The following is a 21868-nucleotide window of genomic DNA, read 5'->3' as shown; positions in this document are numbered from 1 at the left end:
ATTTCCTGTTAGTGTATCTTTACACTCTACAAAATATAAACTCCTCAAGAGACAAAATAGATCTCATTTACCTGCAATTTCCATGTCAATACATGACAGTTAAGCTCCCACCCTGTGTGAAGATTCTACAAGCCGCCTGGGGCGGCTCTGTAGAGCAGAGGGCTTTGCAGAGGCTAAAGAGCTCTCTGGATCCTTGGAAAGTTAGAGCACTCCAGGAAGATTGCTAAGTAAAGAAAACCAAACCCATGTGTCCTTCTCTACAGGCTTGAAATTCAAATGGGAGAACCCAACACATCTCCATTCAGAAGTTGGTGTGAAGAATTTACCCACATTTCCCCTTTCGCCCACAATACAATCACTGCTCCTTAAAGACTGTGTCAGATTAATCTTGGGTTTGCTTACAAGTGACAGCCTGCAGGATTCTCACCCATCCATTGTGAGAGGTGTGCCACCCAGGAAAGCAATGGGTGGCTGGGTGTCTTAGGGCAAATTCCAAAATATGATTCCCATCTGAGCTCTCAATGAATGATGTTACAAGTCCATCCTTCCTTTGTCGACTAAGAGTGTATCCCTCTTTGAAGGTGTACGTCAACTTCCACTTCTTCCATGACACATCCCCAACCCTAGATTCATGAATAAAAAAACAGAACTTGAAAATAAGAGAAGGATGAAGGAAGTCCCTGCTCCAAATCCAGAGTCATCTTTGTCTTTATCACCAATTTGGCACAACTTTTTCAGATAAGGGACTTGAGAGATTTGTATTCACCACTGCCCTCACACATGTTCATATTGCAACATTGACTAACACAGTATCTTGTTTGGTATAGGTGTTCCAAAAATATTGATTAATTGGCTAATGAAAAGAACACACTGATCACTGAGAGAAAGGAAACATCTCCCAGGAAGTTGAAGGCCAGAGTTTCTAGTAAACATGACCATTAGTCTTTAAGGTTATCCTGGCCACCATGAAAATGAAGCCTAGTTTCCAAAAGCTGTCAGTGGGAGGGCCACATGCTGAGTCCCAGGACTGGTGACTGGTTAAATAGTATCCGTGCCCTAACCTGAGTAACGGTAAGATTTTTATTATTTGTGTGGCATTTTTACACTTTGCAAATCACTTTTATATCCATGACTTCGTTTGATGTTTACAACCATCCTGGAAGTTGACGGGGCAGATGTGGTGATTATCAGATGAATAAACTGAGGCACAGAGAGGTCAGGAGACTTAAGCCCCAACATCTGCCTAAGGGAAATGAATTTGGGCAAGATGCAGCGCTGGGCCCAAGAGACAACAGCTTATGGGACCAAAAGGTAGCATGCAGAAGGCCAAAGCAGAGGTCTGCCACAAGTGCTCAGGAAGCACAGAGGAGACAGAAAGACAAACCACCCTGATGCCCACACTGCACCCAGGGGGCAGGCTCCTTGGGAGCTGAGCGAGAGACTCAGATCCTCCCGACTCTGCAGCTTCTGGAGGGATGAAAGGGGCTCTGAATGTGTGAGCTACAGTAATTATGTTTGCTTTAATGGAGCAATGCCGGCTTTTGTTGTGCTATGGTGCAAAGGCCTAATTATTCAAACGCAGCCATTAGTTCCCACACAGCAGAGATGACGGCAGATGTTATAAAGATAACATCTCTTGGCCCTTTGCCTGCCAGCCCCAACCACAGGGACACTTCAGACGCGACAGCAGCTCCTGCCAGGAGCACCCAGCACATGTCCCAGGACATCAGAGCCCAGAGTTGACCTGAGACATCTGGAGGGAAGAGGGGCCATGTGAGCCCCCCCTCCAGGGCCCCCAGGTGAGGGAGGTGCAGGTGGGCCTGCTAGGAGCGGAGTGACCCCGGCTGCCCGGAGCCCTCTGTGTCCTGCTAGCTGTCTTCACACAGACAAGCAGCTCCCATCAGGGCACAGACACCATGTCAGGAACCCATTTCAAACATACAAGGCTGAAAGGAAATCATTCATCTCACCACAGGACGAGATGTACCCAGAAACCCGTCCAACTTCTTGCCGCCACCACCAGGAAAAAAAAAGTGACGAGCTGAATTTGTAGGGTATACGATTGCTCAAACGGGCATTCAGGAGCAGGCGCTGGCCTGCCTGCATTTTTCCTATCCCAGCCCTTCTATGAGTAACTATTAGGAAAACACAAAGGGCTTTAAAAAGTTCAAAGAATTTATCTAAAATGTGGCTGCATCATTATCACCACGAAACTGCTTAATATTTAGACTTCTGTAAACTAAAACCAAACAGAAAATTTTTTTTAAGTTGAGAGGAGAGCAGGGGTTATTTTTCCTTTGCACCAGCGCAGCAGAGATTTCCTGGAAGTTGGATCCCTCGGGCTTTGTTCTCTTTCCTCTGCATGCACACACACACCTGCCTCTCTCCCATGCAACCTGCCTGGAAACTGGATACCTGGAGAGAAGAGACAGGGCTCTCAGGAAATATTTCACTTGACCAAAACTTCTGCCACCCTGTTCTTTAATCATATTTTCCTCTGGCTGCTTTTCACACATCCACCCAAGGTAGAAGGAATATCTCCCATAAAAATTGTAGTGTGAAGAGTTCTTCATTTTACAAAAGAAAAAAGTGGGAGGAAATCTGCCGTAATAATGAGGGAAGCCATACTCTGTTCGTTAGCAGGGACTTTCTTTGAACAATGCCCCAACCTGCTGTCCAAGGAAGACTTGCGTGGGAGCGACAGGAATGGGGAGGTGAAGGCTGCCCAGGTTCTAAGGACTCCCCTCCATGCAGCCTGGCAACAAATCCTCCTGGGCAAGGCATTTCCGGCTCAGTGTGTTGCTTTTTTTCCACGTGGAGTTGTAGAAGAAAACCTGGGAAAGGATTAAGTCAAGCATTTGCTTCCCAGCTGAAGAAGAGGAACACGGACCTCAGAAAGACTGCAGAAGTTGAGAGCTCTGGAAGTGCGTCAATTTTTAAAACCATACACACACAGTTTAAAAGAAAGTTTTTTTTTTAATAACAGTTAAAATATTAACAATGAGAAACAGCAGTGCGCACACAGGCATGGCTAGCTTTGTGGCTGAAACAGAGGAAGGTGGGTCATGGGCTGTTATGAAGAATGGAAAGAATTGCACAGGTCTGGAAAAGATCTGGAAATGACACTCCCATCCATATTTTAATGCCAAAGCAAGAGAACATCAAGAAATCACCAAATGCCATCCTGGGAGGTCAGAAGCAGGGGAGACAGGGGACATCTCATAAATCAAAGGCCAGTACTGGAGACAGGAAAACAGGGCCAGTAGCTCCTGGGCCTTGCGGCTCGCTGGTGGGTGCAGGACTGAAAAGAATGGGGGTACGAGTTGTGCTAGAATCCTGGTTTTTCAGAGAAAACTGGGGCTGAGGAGCAGGTCTAGAGTCAGCACACAGGCGTTCAGACCCAGGGCTCGCTGCAGTATCTTCACTCAACTTCTGCACAGAACAGCTCCAGGAAGCGGTGTCTACAGGTGCAGGTGAAGATGGAAGACGGACTAATTGAACTGAAGGAGGCTCTGAGCAAAACAGTCATCCCCTCCTCCACCCAACCACTGCCTTTCCTCCCATCCAGCTCACATGCCTAAAAAGTCAGTCCGTGCTTGCTTTTCCTGGTGAGTTTCTTCTAAACGAATGTACTTGTCTCTTCTCTTTCTACGTGAAAAATACTAAGGCAAAACCAGGCACCTTTGGCTTCTGCATGCAGCTCTGTAGCCATGGACGAGATTGAGCCACAGTATTTTTACAGCCTCCTTGACAACAGACTGAGGAAGACACTGCCCCACCCAACACAGTCCACCAGGGCTTGGTGTGTAGACCCCCATCCCCACTATTCCTGCAGGCTAGAGCACTCAGCCTCTGAGCGGCATGACCCCAGGCAGTCATGCAGCCATCTATTCAGACCCAAGGCCAAACCCACACTCCTGTGAGGGCCACGGGATTCCCTTGGCAGAAGGAAACATTTTCCATTGTCAGTATTCACAAGGAGAGGCCTGTCTTGGGGTAGGTCGAAGTGGGGGAACATGCCCTCCGCTGTGGGCCTAAGTGCCAGGCCTGAGGTATCCTGGGGTTGGGGGAGGCAGTGGCCTGAAGAGAGACAGGGATCAGGGTCAATCCTGGGGGCCCTGGCTGCTCTCCGATGGCATGTTTGGGGTTCTTGGCCTGTCTTTGTGTGTGAACCATGTTGGCTCCTATGAAACCTACAAACTTCCTTCTCAGGATGATGCCGTAAGTACACAAAACTAAATAGGATTAAATAAAAACATTAAAATAGGCCTTATCCATGTACTCCCTGATTAAGAACTCACTTGAGAACTCAAGTGACCTAGATTTTGGCATAAACTGTAAATGGGGAGCAGCCACGGTGAGCTCTGTTTCTGCAGTTGCAGGCTGTGCTGGGCCACGCAGGCTGCTGCTGTGATGAAGGATACCTGGCCCCTGCAGAGCACACAGTGCAAACCTCCCAGGGTCTCTTGGCGCTGGCTGGAGCCACTTCCATTTTGTTTTATACTCAAATGTCCAAGGACTGGCTAAGAAGTTAACTAAAGTGTCATTTCTAAGTACAAAGACATTTCTGTAGAAGCATATGCTTTATAAATTGTATTGAGTAGATTCACTTATATAGGACATCAACACATTATTTTCTATTTTATACTACTTTTCTTATGAAGTACTCAAATCATAAATAAACCCAAGGATGTTCTCTTAGAGACAGATAAACATAGGGTACCGAGGACTCGGTTTTCATTTTGCTTTCCATCTTCGTAGTGACTTTTCAGTGGCTGAGCTCACTGCAAGCTTTTCACGGAGCCTGAGAGCCATGTGCACTCTGGGCCCTGGCGCTCCGCAGGAGCGGCGTTTAGCAGGTTGCAGCATCAGCTCACCTGCTGCTGCAGAGCTCTGCGTCTCCAACAGGCACCTGCACACACAGAGGAGTTGTCATTACCCTTAGTGCTATGCACACAGGCGAGTCTGGGCCTGTTGCGAGTCGCCTCCGGTAATCACAGACCCAGACACATGGTGCGGTGGAGAAGCTGGGGAGACAAGCAGCACCCACACCCTGTGCCTCCCGACCTCCGTCAGGACCCCATGTCCCCACCACTCCCTTCCCCACCCACCCTGCCTGGGCCTGAGTCACAGCCCAGAGTCTGCATGCCAGGTCCAGCACCTACTCCTCTCACTCTGTGGACTTCCGGCCACTCTGCCAGCCACGCCCTCACACAGACATTCCAAGACAAGGGAAAGGGGCTGTGGGGAAGCCTCTGACCTAACATGAAAGCCCCCCCATGGCTTCCAGCCACAGGGAGGGGAGGGCGTGGGGGATGCTGAGATTTCCTCCAATGACCTCTCTGCAGCAGCTCCTTCAAAGGTGCCCTTCTTTTCCAGTTGAAGGCAATGCTTTTTCACTTTTTGCATTCAGGCTGGTTAACAGGCAGCTGTGATCGCTCTTAAGACTGAGGTCCTAGGAGAGTCTGGGAGTGAACTCACTTCCTAGTGGCAATGAGGGAAGACACCTAGTCATCCTGAGCTCTCTACCTGGGCCATGCCTTACCCAGGCTGCTGGCCCACACTCTACCACACAATGTCTTATTTTCGGAGCACAGTGAAGTTCAACTTCCTCCTCTCCATGACTCTACACAGATTGTGACTTCTGCTTCATGGGGGAGTGCAGCATGAGGATTTCTGCTCCACCCATGAGTCTGAAAGCTTTCCACACCCAAGCAAGCCCTGGATGGGGTTCATTTCAGTTCCTGGTCAAAATATGGGGGCCGTTATACTCAACTACCCAGGACGAGGTGCTGGAAGAAAAATTCTCCAGATTGTAAAGTTTAATGTCGAAATATCAAGTAAGGCATTTCTTTTCTTTGCGATCATGCAACAGATCCAAAAGCAAGAGAGTAAACTTCTCATTTCTGTGCAAATCAGTTTTCCAAGGGAAAGAAAAAGAATGATGAATGGAAGATCTGGGAAGCTCAGGGAGTTATTTTACCTCCTGCACTTGATCCATCTGCAAAGTGACACATGGCATCCACTTCCTCAGGAGAAGACAAACCTACAGAGAACACAGAAGTCTCACTTTCCTATGACTAATGTTTACGATGCAAGAACATTTGATCAAAGTAGGCCTACCCAAGAGCTGGAGTAGGCGCTTACCCATAGCTCCCACACGGCCCTACGGAAATCACAGGTGGCTTCAGGTGAGCCCCAGACACCTGGAGCTCCTTATGACTAGTGTGGCAGGTAAGCCTTTGATAAATCCCAGCTCTAAAACCTTGGCAAGGGCCACTTGGCTTTCCAAAATTCTTTTGTGTGTCAAAGCTCCAGCCTGATGCTTCCAAAGGTGCATGCTCCACAGGATTTGTGGCAATTCTCATGGCTGAGCACTTTGCAGCACATTGGCAAGGAGGCGCTCTTCCCCTCCCAAATATGCAGGCCAGAGCATGTGAGCGACAGCTGCCTGGCCTGCCCTCCTTAGCCTGGCAGAGCGGGAAGCCTTGCTCAGGCAGCTCCCCATGGCCGGATGGCCCTCCCTCCCTCCCTTCCAGTTCCTCTTCTACACTGGTGAGATGCATGGGCCTTTATTGCTCTTCTACAAATATAGGGAAAGCGAGGCTATCATCTGCTATGTCCCCAACACTCATCTCTCACATCACACTGGAGGGCAGCATCTCAGCCTCTCTGAGATTACAGACTCTGGTCTCCTACTTGGGATGACGATGTTGATTCTAGAGGAGCAAGTAAGTAATTTTCCGTCAGTACGTTAGGTACTTAGAGCAGTATCAAGTGTTCAGCTATTCTTTGTATCATGCTTAGTATTATTAGTGCAACATGTCTTAAAAGCATTTTCTCCGATACTGTTTTGGTTCCCTTTGACACTTACCCCACTTTTATGCTGTTTTTCCTAGAAAGGCTTAGCTAATTCTTACGTTTGGCCAGTTTAAATAATCTAACTTCCTTTTTATCAGATCTCCTTAAAAGCCATAGCAATTTAACGAAATTTGTTGAAATATATCAACCACCCCGTGAAATAGACACTGCAGAGTTGTCATGGCCCCGCATGTGTCCCTGGTGCAGGTGTGGGTATGTATGTGTGATGATTTTGTTTGTTTTCATGGGATGTTTTGTTTCCAGCTGAGGGGAGGGGCATGAAGGGGTAAACCATCAGGATAGTTTTCCAGCAGTCACTTGTTCTAGAATGGGAACCTGTTCCTGTGAAAGATTCCAAGCTTCACCTCCTATTACCATAAATGGATTATATATTCTTTCTATAGACAGAACAATTAAAGCAAACTACAGGACTCACTGGAGTGGAGGAGATCTGGGAACCCCGCGTATAGCATGGGAACTGAGCAAGCCAGCTTTTCACAGTGATTGATGCTGCATGTTTAACAGTGCCAAGGAGGGCTGGGCCCAGTCTCCTCCTGAATTCATTAGCTGTGTTTGTTTTATACATGGACTACCTGTGTCTTTTTGGCAGGGGATCATAAAGCCAAGTGACAGCAACTGCTCTGCCCAGCCATTGCTTCTGCAGCCAAAGTCAGAGGCGATTCTGCCAGCAGCATAACTGCTGGAGTCCCAAACCTTCCTAACAGGCCAGCAGCCCAACAAGAACCCACACTGAACACCCAGCGGCACCCATGCCACCACAGACCAGTGCGTCCCACCCCACTGGAGAAATCCAATTTTGTAAATACAAGTAGCCCACCAAAAGAAAAAGTTAGGGAGAAAGCTATTTCTCTTTTTTAAAAAAAGAAAACTGGGTACCTGTTTTGCTTAAATTTGACTGCATGCCACACCTGCACAGATGAGCCTGCGCAGGCCTGCTGCAGAGCAGTGACAAGGTGGCACAGGCTGGAGGAGGGGCCGCCCCACCCCAGCTCACAGGGCTTGCCCCACACACACGCAATCCTGGCCCCAGATTACATCTGCAATGGGACTGACCAGGTCTGAGGCAAAGTCTCTGCTCCAGAGACAGGGCTCCCCTTTCTATCTCCTCCAGCAGATCATTATTGGAGTTCATCCACTTTGAACACTATCTATTCATCACCCTACACTTCCTGCACACCGAGCACCTGAGGCATTTTTACTCCCAACACTCACGACCATCCTAATTCATAATCAAGTAGCAAATGTCTTACAAGGAAGCAGAACAGAAAGAAGTGGGTACTGAAAGAACTACTTTGTGTTCATTTCACCTGAATAATTAGACAACCTCCTAGCAAATCTTAAAGTAGTCCAGAGACTCAAAGATTTAATATATGGCGTATCCTTTTCCTATCTACATTCATTCACTGAGTAATTACTCAGTAATCACTCTGTGCCAACACCCAGTCAAAATTCTACACTTTTCTTTTTTGAGACAGGACCTCACTCTGTAGTCCAGGCTGGAGTGCATCATAGCTTGATCACAGCTCACTGCAGCCTCAGCCTCCTGGGCTCAAGCCATCCTCCTGTCTCAGCCTCACCAGTAGTTGAGATGACAGGTGCATGCCAGCACACCCAGCTAATTTTTTAATTTTTTTGTAGAGATGATGTCTCATTATGTTGCCCAGGTGAGATATTTTTTGTATTGGCCTCATGATTAATTTTACCTGTGTTAAGTGGCTTAAATCTGAATTACACATTATCATGATGATAGACGATAATAATTTTAGATACATTACCAAATATATATATATGATATTTTACAAGAACTTAGAGGAGTCAGTCCTTACACTCATGGAATTTGCAGTCTATGTTTAATATAATTCTATGTTCACTGAATATAGAATCAATATATAACCCCTGATATGTACTATTGGTAATTGGGTCAATGATTTGTCTCATTATTGCATTATTGTCAATGTATAATCCCCAATATTACCATTAGTAATTAGGTCAATGAGTTGTCTCATTATTGCAGTTTTGTCAATATTAATCCTCAATATGAACTATTAGTAATTAGGTCAATGAGTTGTCTTATTATTGCAATATGTATACTTATGTTGATACAGTAAGAGTCACCAGAAGCAATATGAGTTTCTAAGGTAATTCCATGAAAAAATGCACACAACATATCTTGTTGGGAGCCATTGTGACTATTTCGGCAAAAAAAAGTTACAATTTTTTAAAAGTTTTTTCTCATTTTAATTGTTGAGCCATTCAGCAAACTCAGCTCAGTAATCACAGCATCAGTGGAAAATATATATTTGTCAAAGAACAATAGCATGCTGGAACTAGCTCATAATGGCTTACAAAAAAAATCTATTAAACCATCAGGAATTCTGTGAGCTTTTTGTTAAACTCTGCCATTATTAAATGTCAAATTATATAGAACTATAACTGAATGACTTATATTAAATGCAAAGTTAGTAAGAACTCAAAAATCACTACTTTGTCCATATTTTACTCCACTTTAGCACGTTCTAGATCTCTGGTATCTGTGTGGTGGAAGCACAGCCTAACAGCAAGCTACTGCACATCTCGTTCCAGCTCTGAGCTCATGATGTCTCATTCGTATCATGAAATCAGCCACGGTGGGAGTATTTATACCACTGGAATCAGCAAATGCCACAGATCAGACCTTTATTTATAGCTTCATGCATTACTTAGACCTATGAAAGTGAAGAATAAAATGTGTATAATGCAGATTAAACCTAAAAGTGTGTTGTGTAGGTAGCTGTTACGTTGTGAAATAGCACAGCAATTGAGAGAATATTCTTCCTCTGTTCAGAACCCATTATCCAATTCAGCAAATAAATAGCTCACATCATTGAAGAGCAAGTGACATTCCAACACACATCTTCATTGTTTCCTTTTCACCTTACTTGTTAGTATTATTATGAAAATATCAACCAACATTCATGTCGAAGTCACATCTGCACATCAGCTGCAACACTAGGTTGGCTACAGAAACAAGATTTCAGCAAAATCAACGAAAGCATTCTGTGAGGATAAAACAGAATTTATGATAAAGCATATGTTTTATCATCATATATGCTATGATTGTTTGCAACTTGTGCACAGTACATCTTTATGCATAGATGATGGTTAGTAAAATTATGTGCATATATATGCATACATTTTTTCCTGAAGATCTGGTTGTTATACATTTACCAGCACACCACTGGCTACCTGCCCTTTTCAGTTTTTCTCTATGTATGAAAATTCTAGCCAATCTAAAGGAGATCTATTTGCCTAAATATTTCTCCTCAGGAAACAGTAAGGGATATTTTGTTTTGCAGAAAAAACACTGTCAATGAAGAAATGAATTTCTTCGGTGATATTTACCAAAAGATAATTTACCAAAATGCTGGGACTATATTGAAAAATGTTTTAGATCTCACTATTCAGTAGTATTGCTTATCAGAAAATATTGTTCACATATGTCCATTTAAATTATATTCTTGGGCCGGGCGTGGTGGCTCACACCTGTAATCACAGCACTTTGGGAGGCTGAGGCAGGTGGATCACCTGAGGTCAGGAGTTCAAGACCAGTCTGGCCAACATGGTAAAACCCTGTCTCTACTAAAAATACAAAAATTAGCCAGGCCTGGTGGCACATGCCTCTAATCCCAGCTACTCTGGGGCAGGGCGGTGGGTGCAGCTGAGGCAGGAGAATTGCTTGAACCTGGGTGACGGAGGCTGCAGCGAGCTGAGATCGTGCCACTGCACTCTAGCCTGGGCAACAGAGGGAGACTCCGTCTCAAAAATAAATAAATAAAATAAAATAAAATAAATTATACTCTTGTCTAAACAGTTACTGATCTTATATATCTCATCATTTCAATTGTTTAAATAAGGATTTTTTTCTCCTAAAATTTTAGTGTAATTTTTAAAAATTATACATATATGTATAAATACACCGACATATACTGTACTCTTTCAGCAGAGAGAGCGCAGGGATGTTCCAACACACTTAACGTCTGCTTCTTCCCAGGAGCTCAGACCGCACGGTCAGCCCAGTGGAGCAGGGAAGGGTTCAAGGTCCCACTGCCAGCTCTAGCTCAATCCCACAGGAGCATTGCCCAAGAAAGCCCAAAGCATGTCCCCAAAACAGAGACAAGGCTGCAGTGAGGGGTCTCCTTGAGGACTCATTGAGTTGAAGCCATACCAGTTGAGGAAATATTCAAAAGCCAAAGGATCAACCGAATTGAAATCTTGAGCAAAGAAAGGCTTCTCGGGGCACGCCTCTCGGGACTAATTAGGAACCTGAGGTTCTAGCTTGGGGGTTGTTTCTTTTTGCACCTGGGAAAGCACTTGGCCATGGGAGGGCCCAGAATCATTTAGCACATGAATGAATGAATGATATGTGGAGGCTGCCCACAGGGTTAGCATAGTTGCTTGAAGGCTTTATGTTTGGAAGACACATGGTATGGAAATTTTCTTATGGCACCGAGTTTAAAAGCTCTGTGGCAACCCTTCCAATAGAAGTAGACAGACTCCAGCCTTTGTGCCCACTCAGCCCACCCATGTTTGTGTAAACTGAGTTTTGCCGGAACATAGCAGGGCTGGTGCATTTATGTGTGTTGCTTTTGCACTGCAACAGCAGCGTTGAGTAGTTCTGACAGAGACTGGATGGCCTACAGAGCCTAAGTATTTACTCTCTGGCCCTTTAGAGAAAAAGTTTGTGGATCCCTGCCTTGAAGGAATTAATACAACAGGCAGAAATCTTCTGACGTTTCTCTCTTTCACATGGTTTCACAGGGACAATGAGTGATTGAAAGATAATTCACCAGTCCAGCTAAGGTTTACTGAATGCCTACTATATATGTCATTGAGAATAAATATCTCCCCTGCCTCCAGCCACCCAGGAGGCCTGGTTGGAGAGACAGAGACATGGATGTCTACAATAAACAACACTCCACATCAGATCTGGGAGTAGGCATTAACTAGAAGGATCCATGCGCTCCCAGGTGGTGGCCAGTGCAGGGGCTGCCCAGAGAGGGGGTCTCAGGCTTCACGGGGCAGACAGCTACCCCTCAGGTCTCTGCTTCTTTGATGCCACTGGGGTCCTGCCATCTCAGAACAGAGGGGAGGGACCAACAATGACTCCCAGGATCCTCTGCTGCAGGAAGAGGTCAGGTGCTAGCACAGACGACCACATGCCTGCTTTCTCATTTTGACCAGTGACCCTCGTTCTTACCCCCTTCCCCCAGGCTGGGAGGAGTGAGTGCTCCCTGCACTGCAGGGTTCACCAGGTACTGACAAGCACACCAGCCAGTCCTTGCAGGAACCTCTGCAGCAAGTCCTGCTGTTTTCTCTTGTTGCTGCAAGGAGAGTAGGCACAGAGCTGTAAGGCTAGACAGCATCCCTGGGAACAGGTGGGGGCCAGGACTGAGTCTATCTGACTCCAAAGCCAAGCTATTGGGAATTCTGCTGGCGTCTGAAGCCCAGGGGAGGAGGGAGTTTCCAGGAGTAGGAGTAAGGAGTGGCGGATGCAGTGAAATGTAGTGAAGTGGAGGAGAGCAGTCAACAGACCAGTGTGGAGCCATGCTGGCCTCGCTGGTGACCGCAGGTGTGGGAGAGACCACTCATCTTCTGCCTACCCCACAATGCTGCCTTCAACCAGGTGGTTTTGGACAGGAGGATTTTATGGGCTGTTTGTCTTATTCTTTGTATCAAGGTCAGTCTTAATGGGAAAAGGCGTCATAAATGGGCAGCCAGCATGAATGAGGTCTGTATGTTCAGATAATAACTAAGAAAGGAATAGTCACTCAAAGTTATTCAAAGACCATATTTGTAGGGCAACTGAGTGTCTGTGTGCTTATTTAGAACTCCCATTCCTTAATTAGGGAACCAAGTGGACGGGGTGCAAGACTCTATCACTTAGTGATTGCTCAACCTTGAACAAGTGTCACCTCCTCTTAGAAGCTCTGTTTCTTAATATACACAGTAGGGATAATGAGGCCTAATTCCCAGGCTGGTTGTGATCACAAAATGAGGTCATGCTTGTAAATTAACTCTGTATGGTGCTTGGTTATCAATAATGCTGTTGTTCCCATCATTAGTTATTAGGACTGATATGATTAGTATTACTGAGATTACTAAGGGTTTATTATACCAAGAAATCAAGATAGAAAGGTGGCTATGTCCCAGCAGTTGGCAGAGTAGTAGGCAGCAGGAGGGTGTCCTGGCGGCACAGTCTCTCCTGTGTTTCTGCTTTACTGATTCTCCCCGCTGGCCACACATGTTTCTGCTTGGCTACAAACCCTGCCACTGGGCCACCATCCACAGCTCCCCATCTAGAAGCCACCGCATGGGATGGCGGCTGCATCCCCACCAACTGCCTCTGCATCCCCACCTACTACCCCCACTACACTCACCTCTCCTGTGCATCTATCTGCACAGACGTTCTTATGGGTAGCACTGGCTCAACAGCACACATTTGCTTAACCATGGAGCTGCAGGTGTGTGCATTTCCAGTAAGGTGCTAAGCTCCATGAGGGCACAGAGGATAGATATGGTGGCCCCTTCTGTGTAGCCATCTCAAACGGACAGATGAAGCCTGAACTCCAGCAGAAAGCCTCAGGTAGTAAAGGGAGAGGGCTGATTTTCATTCCAGCCCAACCAGCTCCCTGCTCCATAAGGACCATCACATCACTTTTCTTTCAGTTCACTAGCCTATGCAATGTGAAAGACTAGCCAACTCGGTACATTTGTATTTCTTCCATTTGTTTATCATGTATCAAAAGGGAAGGATAGTAATATTAATCACAAGAGTATTCACCAGAGTAAATTCCAAGGAGTGCTTGAAGCTGCCCAGGGGAAAAGTGCTCTGTAACTAACATCTATGATGATACTATCTACAGATGAAGATGAATGCTTTGTGCACATCCTACATGCCCTTTTGTGGAACTTGCAAACACCACCTCCAAGAAAGGCAAATTGTGAATATTAGGATTTTTATTTTATATGCACATACTAAGCCCTTCCTGCAAGAGAATATGGATCATGTATTAGTCCATTTTCACTCTGCTGATAAAGACATACCCAAGACTGGGTAATTTATAAAGAAAAAGATGTTTAATGGACTCACAGTTCCACGTGGCTGAGGAGGCCTCACAATCATGGAGGAAGGTGAAAGGCATGTCTTACATGGTGGCAGACAAGAGAGAATGAGAACCAAGTGAAAGGGGATTCCTCTTACAAAACCATCAGATCTTGTGAGACTTATTTACTACCATAAGAACATTATGGGGAAACCACTTCCATGATTCAACGATCTCCCACTGGGTTCCTCCCATAACACATGGGAATTAAGGGAGCTACAATTCAAGATAAGATTTGGGTGGGGACAGAGTCAAACCATATCAGGTCAGTAAAGGTAAATGAATTACTTGCATCCAACCATCTGTAACTGGCAACATTGAATATACATATTATATAAAAAACTTGAAGCCCAGATTATGTTAACTCATTTCAATTAATATCTTCAAAATATCAAGAAACTGAATCTGGATTCCTACTGGCCATGAGACTTTGTTTAAGCCTTTACCTTCTCTAAGCCTTAATTTGTCTACATGAAAAATGGGTTAATATCTATGCCATAGAAATGTTATGAGAAACAAATTTGGTTTTGTAAATGAGAGGCATTTAGCTTCTTCTCTACTCAGGCATAGTTCACTATTAATTTGCGTATATTTGTTTTGTGGTAGTATATCTGAAAATGTTGAAATTCCAGTGGGTGCCTATGAAATACAGTCATCACATCGCAGTAACTGGACATAGATACAAAAAAGCAGGCCAACATTTTTATTTTCAAATATAAAATTCCTTCTGTGGTTTGAATCTGGGGATTTAGAGAACTTTTAAGATCTCTGTGAAATATTCCTCAAAATTGTTTGTGAGTGTAGCAGTTACTCTTGGTTGTCTCCATTACAATTTCTTCTCAGAAGGCAGAATGCATATTTAGTTTAAATGTCAACCACTATGGGTAAGCTTACCCTTTCCCCAAGTCTAGGTGTGAGTGGTGATTGGTCTAAGCCAGCGATAATGGTAATATTCACCTTGCCAATGGATTCTCTAGGTAAGTGATCCATTTCTGGGCAATATAATGTAAAAGGAGACTTTCTGGGGGGCTTCTAAGAAATGTTTTTGTACTCCTAAGGAGACCCTGGGATATATAGCCCATTTTTTGCCTTTGGACATCCTTTGGTCTGGATGTGATACCTGAAAGGGCTGCAAACATCTTGTTCTCAGAGGTGAGAATGGGTTGACACAGAAGGTAGAGGGAAGGATGAACTAAACCTGGTTTTTAAGACACCCATGAGTGTTGAATCAACCGACCTGAAACCTGTCTTATTTCTGGACTTCTTTTTCTGAGATGCTAAATGTCTTTATTGTTAGAGTTTTCTCTTATTTGCAACTCAATAAATCTTTACTAATTTTTGTCTGTATGTCAAAGATGTGAAAAGCACTGGCCCAAGCTACTCTAAAAATGTATGTTGCATCTAGAAAAATTTCCTGTGAGACAAAGTGCTATCACCACTTGCAGCCTGAAGGATTAAGTCAGCCTGATCTCTTACACATAGAAAATGATATTATCCACTGCTTGAGGGGCACAGCAGCTGGTGATAGTGAACCAGGGACAGGGGAGCATGCCAGGGAGCTGTGCATTCTTTCATATGTGATTGCTGAGAAGTATTCTAGGCAGAATGTGTTTCCATCCCTTTCCCTTATCTTTAACTCCATCTGAGTGTACTTCTCTAAATTAATACAGCTCCCAATAAGGAATGGGAAGATGAGGTCAAGAAAATGATCCTGCTAGAAACACTTGCCCAGTGCAGATGTGCAGTAACTCCACCAGGATGACCTCCCCAAGTCAGAATCCGTCAAGAAAAGAACACTGAGGTGCACCATCATGTTTAATGATGACATCTGAGGACGATGACTTCATGTGACTCATAAACTCAGTTAATTATGTTATTCTATTTCTAAAATATAGTGGAGAATTTGTCAGGAAAGCTCTAGTATCATATCAGAGGCTAGAGGTTCAAAAGTTCAGGCAAAATCAAAAAGGTACTTTTCTTTAATAATAAAAAAGATCATGTCAAGACAGATTCAAAAAACATCAAGAAACACGTCTTAATGTCAAGAAACATGTCTTGACGTCAAGAAACATCTATTAATATAAAAGAACTTTGAGGAATATAAGGAATGTAGTGATGCGGGATGGAAAAAAACATTTGCATGCTCCAGAGATGCAGGAGAAATTGAAGATGCTTCATCCACATAAAATATGACCCTTTGAGTCCTGCCAAGGTCAATGAGACCCAGAGCAATCGGCTCGATATAAAATTGGATTTGTACATTTTTCTTACTTGCGCTAGTTCCTCCCTTCTTGTATATCTGCCACTTTTTTATTTCTCTACCATCCCTGCAACTTCACCTCCTTAGCCCATATTTTATAACTGTCCCAGAAGATAGATGCCACACATGTTGCAAAACAGATGAGAGACAGCAGTGAAGTGGCGGTGACCCTTGTTTTCTGGACTAGCTTGTTTTCTGAATCTCAGTTCCTTTAGTTAAAATCTCGTCTTTGTTTCTGTACGGCTTTGCGTTCAGTGGCGGCGGGATGGGGCAGATACACCTTAGTTCAAATCATGAGTCATTTAGTTACGAACAAGTCAAATGCTCCTTCGCCACTCCGTACCTGCTTTTCCATATTCCCCTTCCCTCAGAGTCTTTTGCAAGCTATCATCTTTCCACAGGTAATATGCTTGCACCCAAGAAAGTTCAATGGCAGGTTACAGAATATATGGTTTTGACTAAAGTTTAAAATTATAGGTTCAGGTTTGAGAAAGTAAAATCTGTCTTTTAGTGAATTAATAGACTTAAAATTCTACTAGCAAATATTAAGATGGTTTAAGCTCCAAACCATCTCTTGAAACTATAATTATAATTGCTCCCTAGATATGCAATTGAAAATACCGTACAACTTTCAGAAATACTGATGCTTTTAAAAAAAAAAATCTTATGCTGTCATGGAAACACGAATAATGAGATTTTTTAATCTTTTAATACAAAATAAAGCAGAGTTTCTAGTCAAAAACGAATGAGAAATAAATTTTCGTTTCTGATGACCAAAATTACAACAGAAATATCTGTAAAAAAATAAAACCAAACTATTATGGTATTAGGAAGAGAATGTTAAAGTTTAAATTTCATAAATATTCTCATCATATTCATATTTATTTACCTTCATTTATAATTTTCTGAAAAACAAAGTATTTTTTTCCCAAAAACTTTCCATGCTATGGTTTTTCTCTTTCTCTAGGGGTCACTTATTTACATTGTGGAAAAATCTTAGGAACATCTGTTCAAGGACTTTGGCTTTTAGAGAAGCATGAAATGGAGGAAGCAAAACTAACACACTTGTGCCTAAAACCTCTCCACTCATTTTAACTTCAGGTCACTGATTAGCAAAGAAAATAGCTGCATCTATTCACAGACTTCAACAAGCAATAAATTATGTAAAATAATTGAGCCTAAACGAAAAAATATTTGTATTAAACAGTGAGCTTTTCTCCACCTCCATTGCACTCTTTATAAATCACTCCTGAGAAACATGGACTGGGTGTCCTATCATTTTCCCATTTCCTTAGTTAGACAGCAGATGAACTCCCTGAGAATAAATACCAAGAGACAGCTGTACAGTCTCAATTTAACTGTAGGCCAAGTAATTACAGTAATACCTTGGATTTTTATATCTTCTAGTCTCCTGAGGACGCAAAGCCCATTTTCACATATATTACCACATCGACTCCCAAGGAGTACCCACTTCCATAACACATCCCACTGTAGTTGGAAAAGTGGCTTCCATATAAGCTTAAGAAACCTGCAGAGCCTCAGAAATGAGACTGGGTTCCACTTAACTCACGTTTTCTTCTAGAACAATCTAGAACCAGAAGATTAAGAGGGGTCTGTGGATGTGACCCACTGACCTTACACAAGGGGTCACCTGCATTTTTATGTCTTAAAATTGGAGAAGGAGGTGGTCTATGACTCTACCTAGTGGCTTTACACCAGAGGTCATTGGCAGGCTTCTTAGAACAGTTCCATTCTATTATTCCTTAGAGCATCCATCCCTGAGAACTATGGGTTTGTTTTTCTCAACAATTTTCAACAAATTTGAATATTAATTCTAAATTCTGAGCTATTTATACACTCACGATTGTAATCAGCCACATACTTCCTGTGCAGGAGGCCAATCCCCTGCTGTCAAATGCTTTGTAAACTGCTGGCAGAAGTGCTTCCTGAGAACGCCGGGGGTGCATGAGAAGGCGCCTCGGGCGGAGCGCAGTAGAGCCACTCACCGGGCAGCGGGGCAGCCGCACAGTCTGGGCACGTGCCCTAGGCTACATCCTTTTAGCTGCCATTGAGATTGAGGGATCAACACAAAGCGTTAAAGGAGCTCATAAAACGAAGACTGATCCACAATGGAAGGGTCAGGAAAGGCCCAAAGGAAGCAGCGTCCCATTTGCGACGTGGTGGACTAAAGAGCCTGCTAAGAAAAGACCGGAAGGAGCTGTAGAGACGGGAAAGCCTGTCTTAACATAGCGGCGCAAGGCGCCTGACCCCGAGCCCAGCTGTGCCTCCCTCAGGCACATGCAAACCGGCACCACCCACAGCCTCTCTTTAATTTGACACTCCCAGCTCTTCTCTAGGAGGCCTCACCTCCCTCCCCTAATGGAATAGATTTTTCCTTTACACCAAAAAACAATCACCTCCTTGCCTCAAGAACACAGTGTTTACACAACCAGTGTAATTTCTTTTCATTGGTGACTTTTGGCCCTGGGGTTATATTTCTCATACGCACAATGTTTTGAATGTGACGTTTTAAACCTAACTTCGCCCTTTTCTTCCAAAGCTACATTAATATAGCAGGAGGCTTAACAGACAATCCAGGCAGAAATGTCTGGAAGTTCACTGCCAGTGCCACAAAAATGTGAATTGTTTTCCTCTGCATATGGGGATTTAATGTTATTGCAGGGTTTCACATTTTTATGAGCACTTAAAATGTTGGATCTGATTGGGATCTAGGCTCACATTAACTCATTTCAAATTATTGAAATACCCATCTTCTAGCTAAAATAAAATGGTTACTAAATCAGAACTATGATGAGCATGGGCATGAAGGAAGAGTACGTTTCTGGATATCTTAAGAAATAATCATGAAATTACCACAGAAAACTAAGTAATCAAAATAAACATATTTAAGTGGGCCCAAAATAACCTGGTTGTATAATATCAAGTAACACTAATGAGGTCACATGATTCAATGGAAGGAAGGACATCACTTTTTCTGCCACTTTTATCCTATTACCTAGAGGAACGAGTGGTTTTAGAAACCGTAAAGCCCACCCCAGGTGCCTTAGTCATAGAGATTTTGTACTGACCAAGATGAGAGTAACTTTCTGATCCTGTGATATGCTCAGATACATGCATCTTGAAGTCTTGCAAAGAAACTATATTTTTCCCAGGAGGCCTCCTCATTTGGGGGTTCACAATGAAAGTGGTTACATGTGTGTTTCTCTAGCTCTCCCTCTATACCCAACCTCTAGTGTCCACACAGGCCCAGGGCCCAAAGAAACTGAGCCCCTGTGTGTTGGGACATTACGTTATGATCGCTATGTGTTTTTAAAAGTTAGGTAACTTTATACTCAGATTCTCTATAGCGTGAAAACATTAATGAATCAAAAAATCTGTTTAGGAAAAATAGAATTTTAATCTTTTTTGGCATCAAGGATACCTACAGTTTTACTGATTAATAAATTATAGATGATAAAATTTTATACAAAGCAAGTATGATTTTTATAAGCACCACCTTGTTTTAACTCTGGGATTTAAGGATTTTTTTTTTCTTTTGCTCCATCTACCTCTTGTCCTTCCATTAAGTATCCTGCCTATAGCAAGCTTCTTAATCTTCACATCAGAATTCCTCCAACAGAATCACCAAACCAAACCTCCAAATCATAAATCCTTTTTCATATTCAATCTTTTGTTTGATCTATATTGACATTTGCAAGATAAGTCTAACTTGACCATGCTTTCTAAACATTCAAGAAGAAAAAAGAAGTACTCCACCTAAAAAATGGAAACAGGTAACAACCTGTGTCTTCAGTCATCAACATCAGGGAGCCAAGATGCCAGGACTTTGTTGGGTGAGAAAATGGGAATGAACCTAGGATCAGTCTTGAGGCAGAAACTCCCATTCCTTCCAGGCTGAGGGAGAATCTGAAGAGGGAAGGAGGCTTGGTGGGTTTTTCTTGTATGTGGGGACTTAAGCCAGTTGAAAGATTTTCTAAAAGCTTTGAGGTATAAAGAACATGTGCGTCCAGCACCTCTGCCACTTTTAACAATTTTGATAAATAGTTTTTATAGATTTTATACCAGTTTGCCATGAAGCAGGTTAAATTACAAGATTAGGTCAATCAGAATTTCAGAGAAACAGCTAAAAGCACAGGCAGTCAGCCAGCAAGAAAGCAAGCTAATTAACTTGTTTCTCATTTCTTCACTTTTGCTACTCACAGACCTGTAAAACATGTAGGTAGGAGGATCGGCATGGGAAAATATACTCTACTATTCTAAAAAGATCAAGAAATGATTACTTTATAAAGTATACTAATATCTAAGATGTTAATTTACTTTTTTCATTGTGCAGATGACAATGGTTAATAATTTGTATTATGCAAAACTTTAGAAGACTAAGTAGATTCCAACATCCGTAAGTAGAAAACATGATGCATTTGAGAAGGCAAAGAGGCTATTGACTCAGAAAAAAAGTAAATTATACAGAAATGTCCTATCCAGTGAATATTATCCTAAGATGCAACCTGTCAGATGGACAAAGACATGCAAAGCAACAGACAGTATTCAACCTAAGTCCAAAAATGGGAAGCCTCTCAGGAAGGTTTCCTAGCTTGAGTAAGTACATTAGTAATTTAATGGTCATAAACAGCATTGTGAAACAAAGTTTAAGATATACAAAAGCTTAATGATGAGGATACTATGTATTTGTATTAATTTTATACAATTTTTGTGCTGATCCCTCTTACAGGTTCCAACTAGCAGAAACCCCAGGATTGCAACCACATAATGAAAAGTTGATGGTGTATCTTTTCCTAAACATTCCATATCCATCACATCTTGAATGGCACTGGCTTATGCAATTTTTTCTCCAACGTTGAGCTGTTTCATTATCTTTTTGTGTTCACAACTTAATACCTTGCGTTAAAGAAAGGTTTTAAAAATAAAATATTTTGAGATGTTAAAGTTGTGGATTTTTGTTTGTTTGTGTTTGTTTTAAGGCAAAGTCTTATTCTGTCACCTAGGATGGAGTGCAGTGGTACGATTACAGCTCACTGCCGCCTCAACCTCCTGGGCTCAAGCAATCTTCTAGTCTCCGTCTACTAAGTGCCTGGGACTGCAAGCACGTGCCACCACACACAGCTAATTTTTTTTATTTTTTGTAGAGATGAGGGTCTCACTATGTTGCCCACGCTGGTCTCAAACTCCTGGCCTCAAGCAATCCTCTTGCCTTAGCCTTGAAAAGTGCTGGGATTACAGGTGTGAGCCACTGTGCTCATCTGAATTTGTGGAGTTTTAAAAAATATTTTAAGGTGGTTACCTCGTCAGTTTTGGTCTCAATTTTTTAAATGTGGGGAAAACAATAATTCATTTTCACAGCATCCCTCAGACAAGTTCAAATCATTGGAAAGCCACACATTAGTCATCTGAGTATGTCCATCTTGAACCTGACCAGCGCTGTGGTAGGAAAAGGGCCTTGAAGGGAAATATTTACCACAAGCCATTTCCGATTTCATTGTTAGTTGCCAAGGGCTGCCTCCTGGCCACTGGCCATTTGACGATGAGGAGAAATCAACAAAGGGCA

The 21868-nt window shown here is 43.2% G+C and overlaps 1 long non-coding RNA gene across 1 annotated transcript in view, besides 1 other annotated feature; it reads right to left on the bottom strand.

The window, feature by feature from the left end:
• Positions 1-2959: 2959 nt before the first annotated feature.
• The window catches only part of LOC101929268 (uncharacterized), a 146944-nt gene continuing 128035 nt past the window's right edge, over positions 2960-21868 (bottom strand). The window contains exons 3-4 of the long non-coding RNA NR_105002.1: positions 5984-6046; positions 2960-4912 (exon numbers count right to left, since the gene is read on the bottom strand). This is a non-coding gene — a long non-coding RNA (uncharacterized LOC101929268). The remainder of the gene's footprint in view (positions 4913-5983; positions 6047-21868) is intronic.
• Positions 4547-5046: an enhancer, noted in NCBI's record as "H3K4me1 hESC enhancer chr8:49608983-49609482 (GRCh37/hg19 assembly coordinates)". NCBI's record gives its function as "activates a minimal SCP1, AML or CMV promoter by ChIP-STARR-seq in primed H9 embryonic stem cells {active_cell/tissue: H9 hESC(primed)}" and the evidence as "EXISTENCE:reporter gene assay evidence [ECO:0000049][PMID:30033119]".

Source organism: Homo sapiens, chromosome 8 (genome assembly GCF_000001405.40).
Source record: "Homo sapiens chromosome 8, GRCh38.p14 Primary Assembly".
Taxonomy (NCBI): Eukaryota; Metazoa; Chordata; class Mammalia; order Primates; family Hominidae; genus Homo; species Homo sapiens.
Note: the sequence above shows the minus strand (reverse complement) of the source record. Positions and strands in the feature narration are given on the sequence as shown.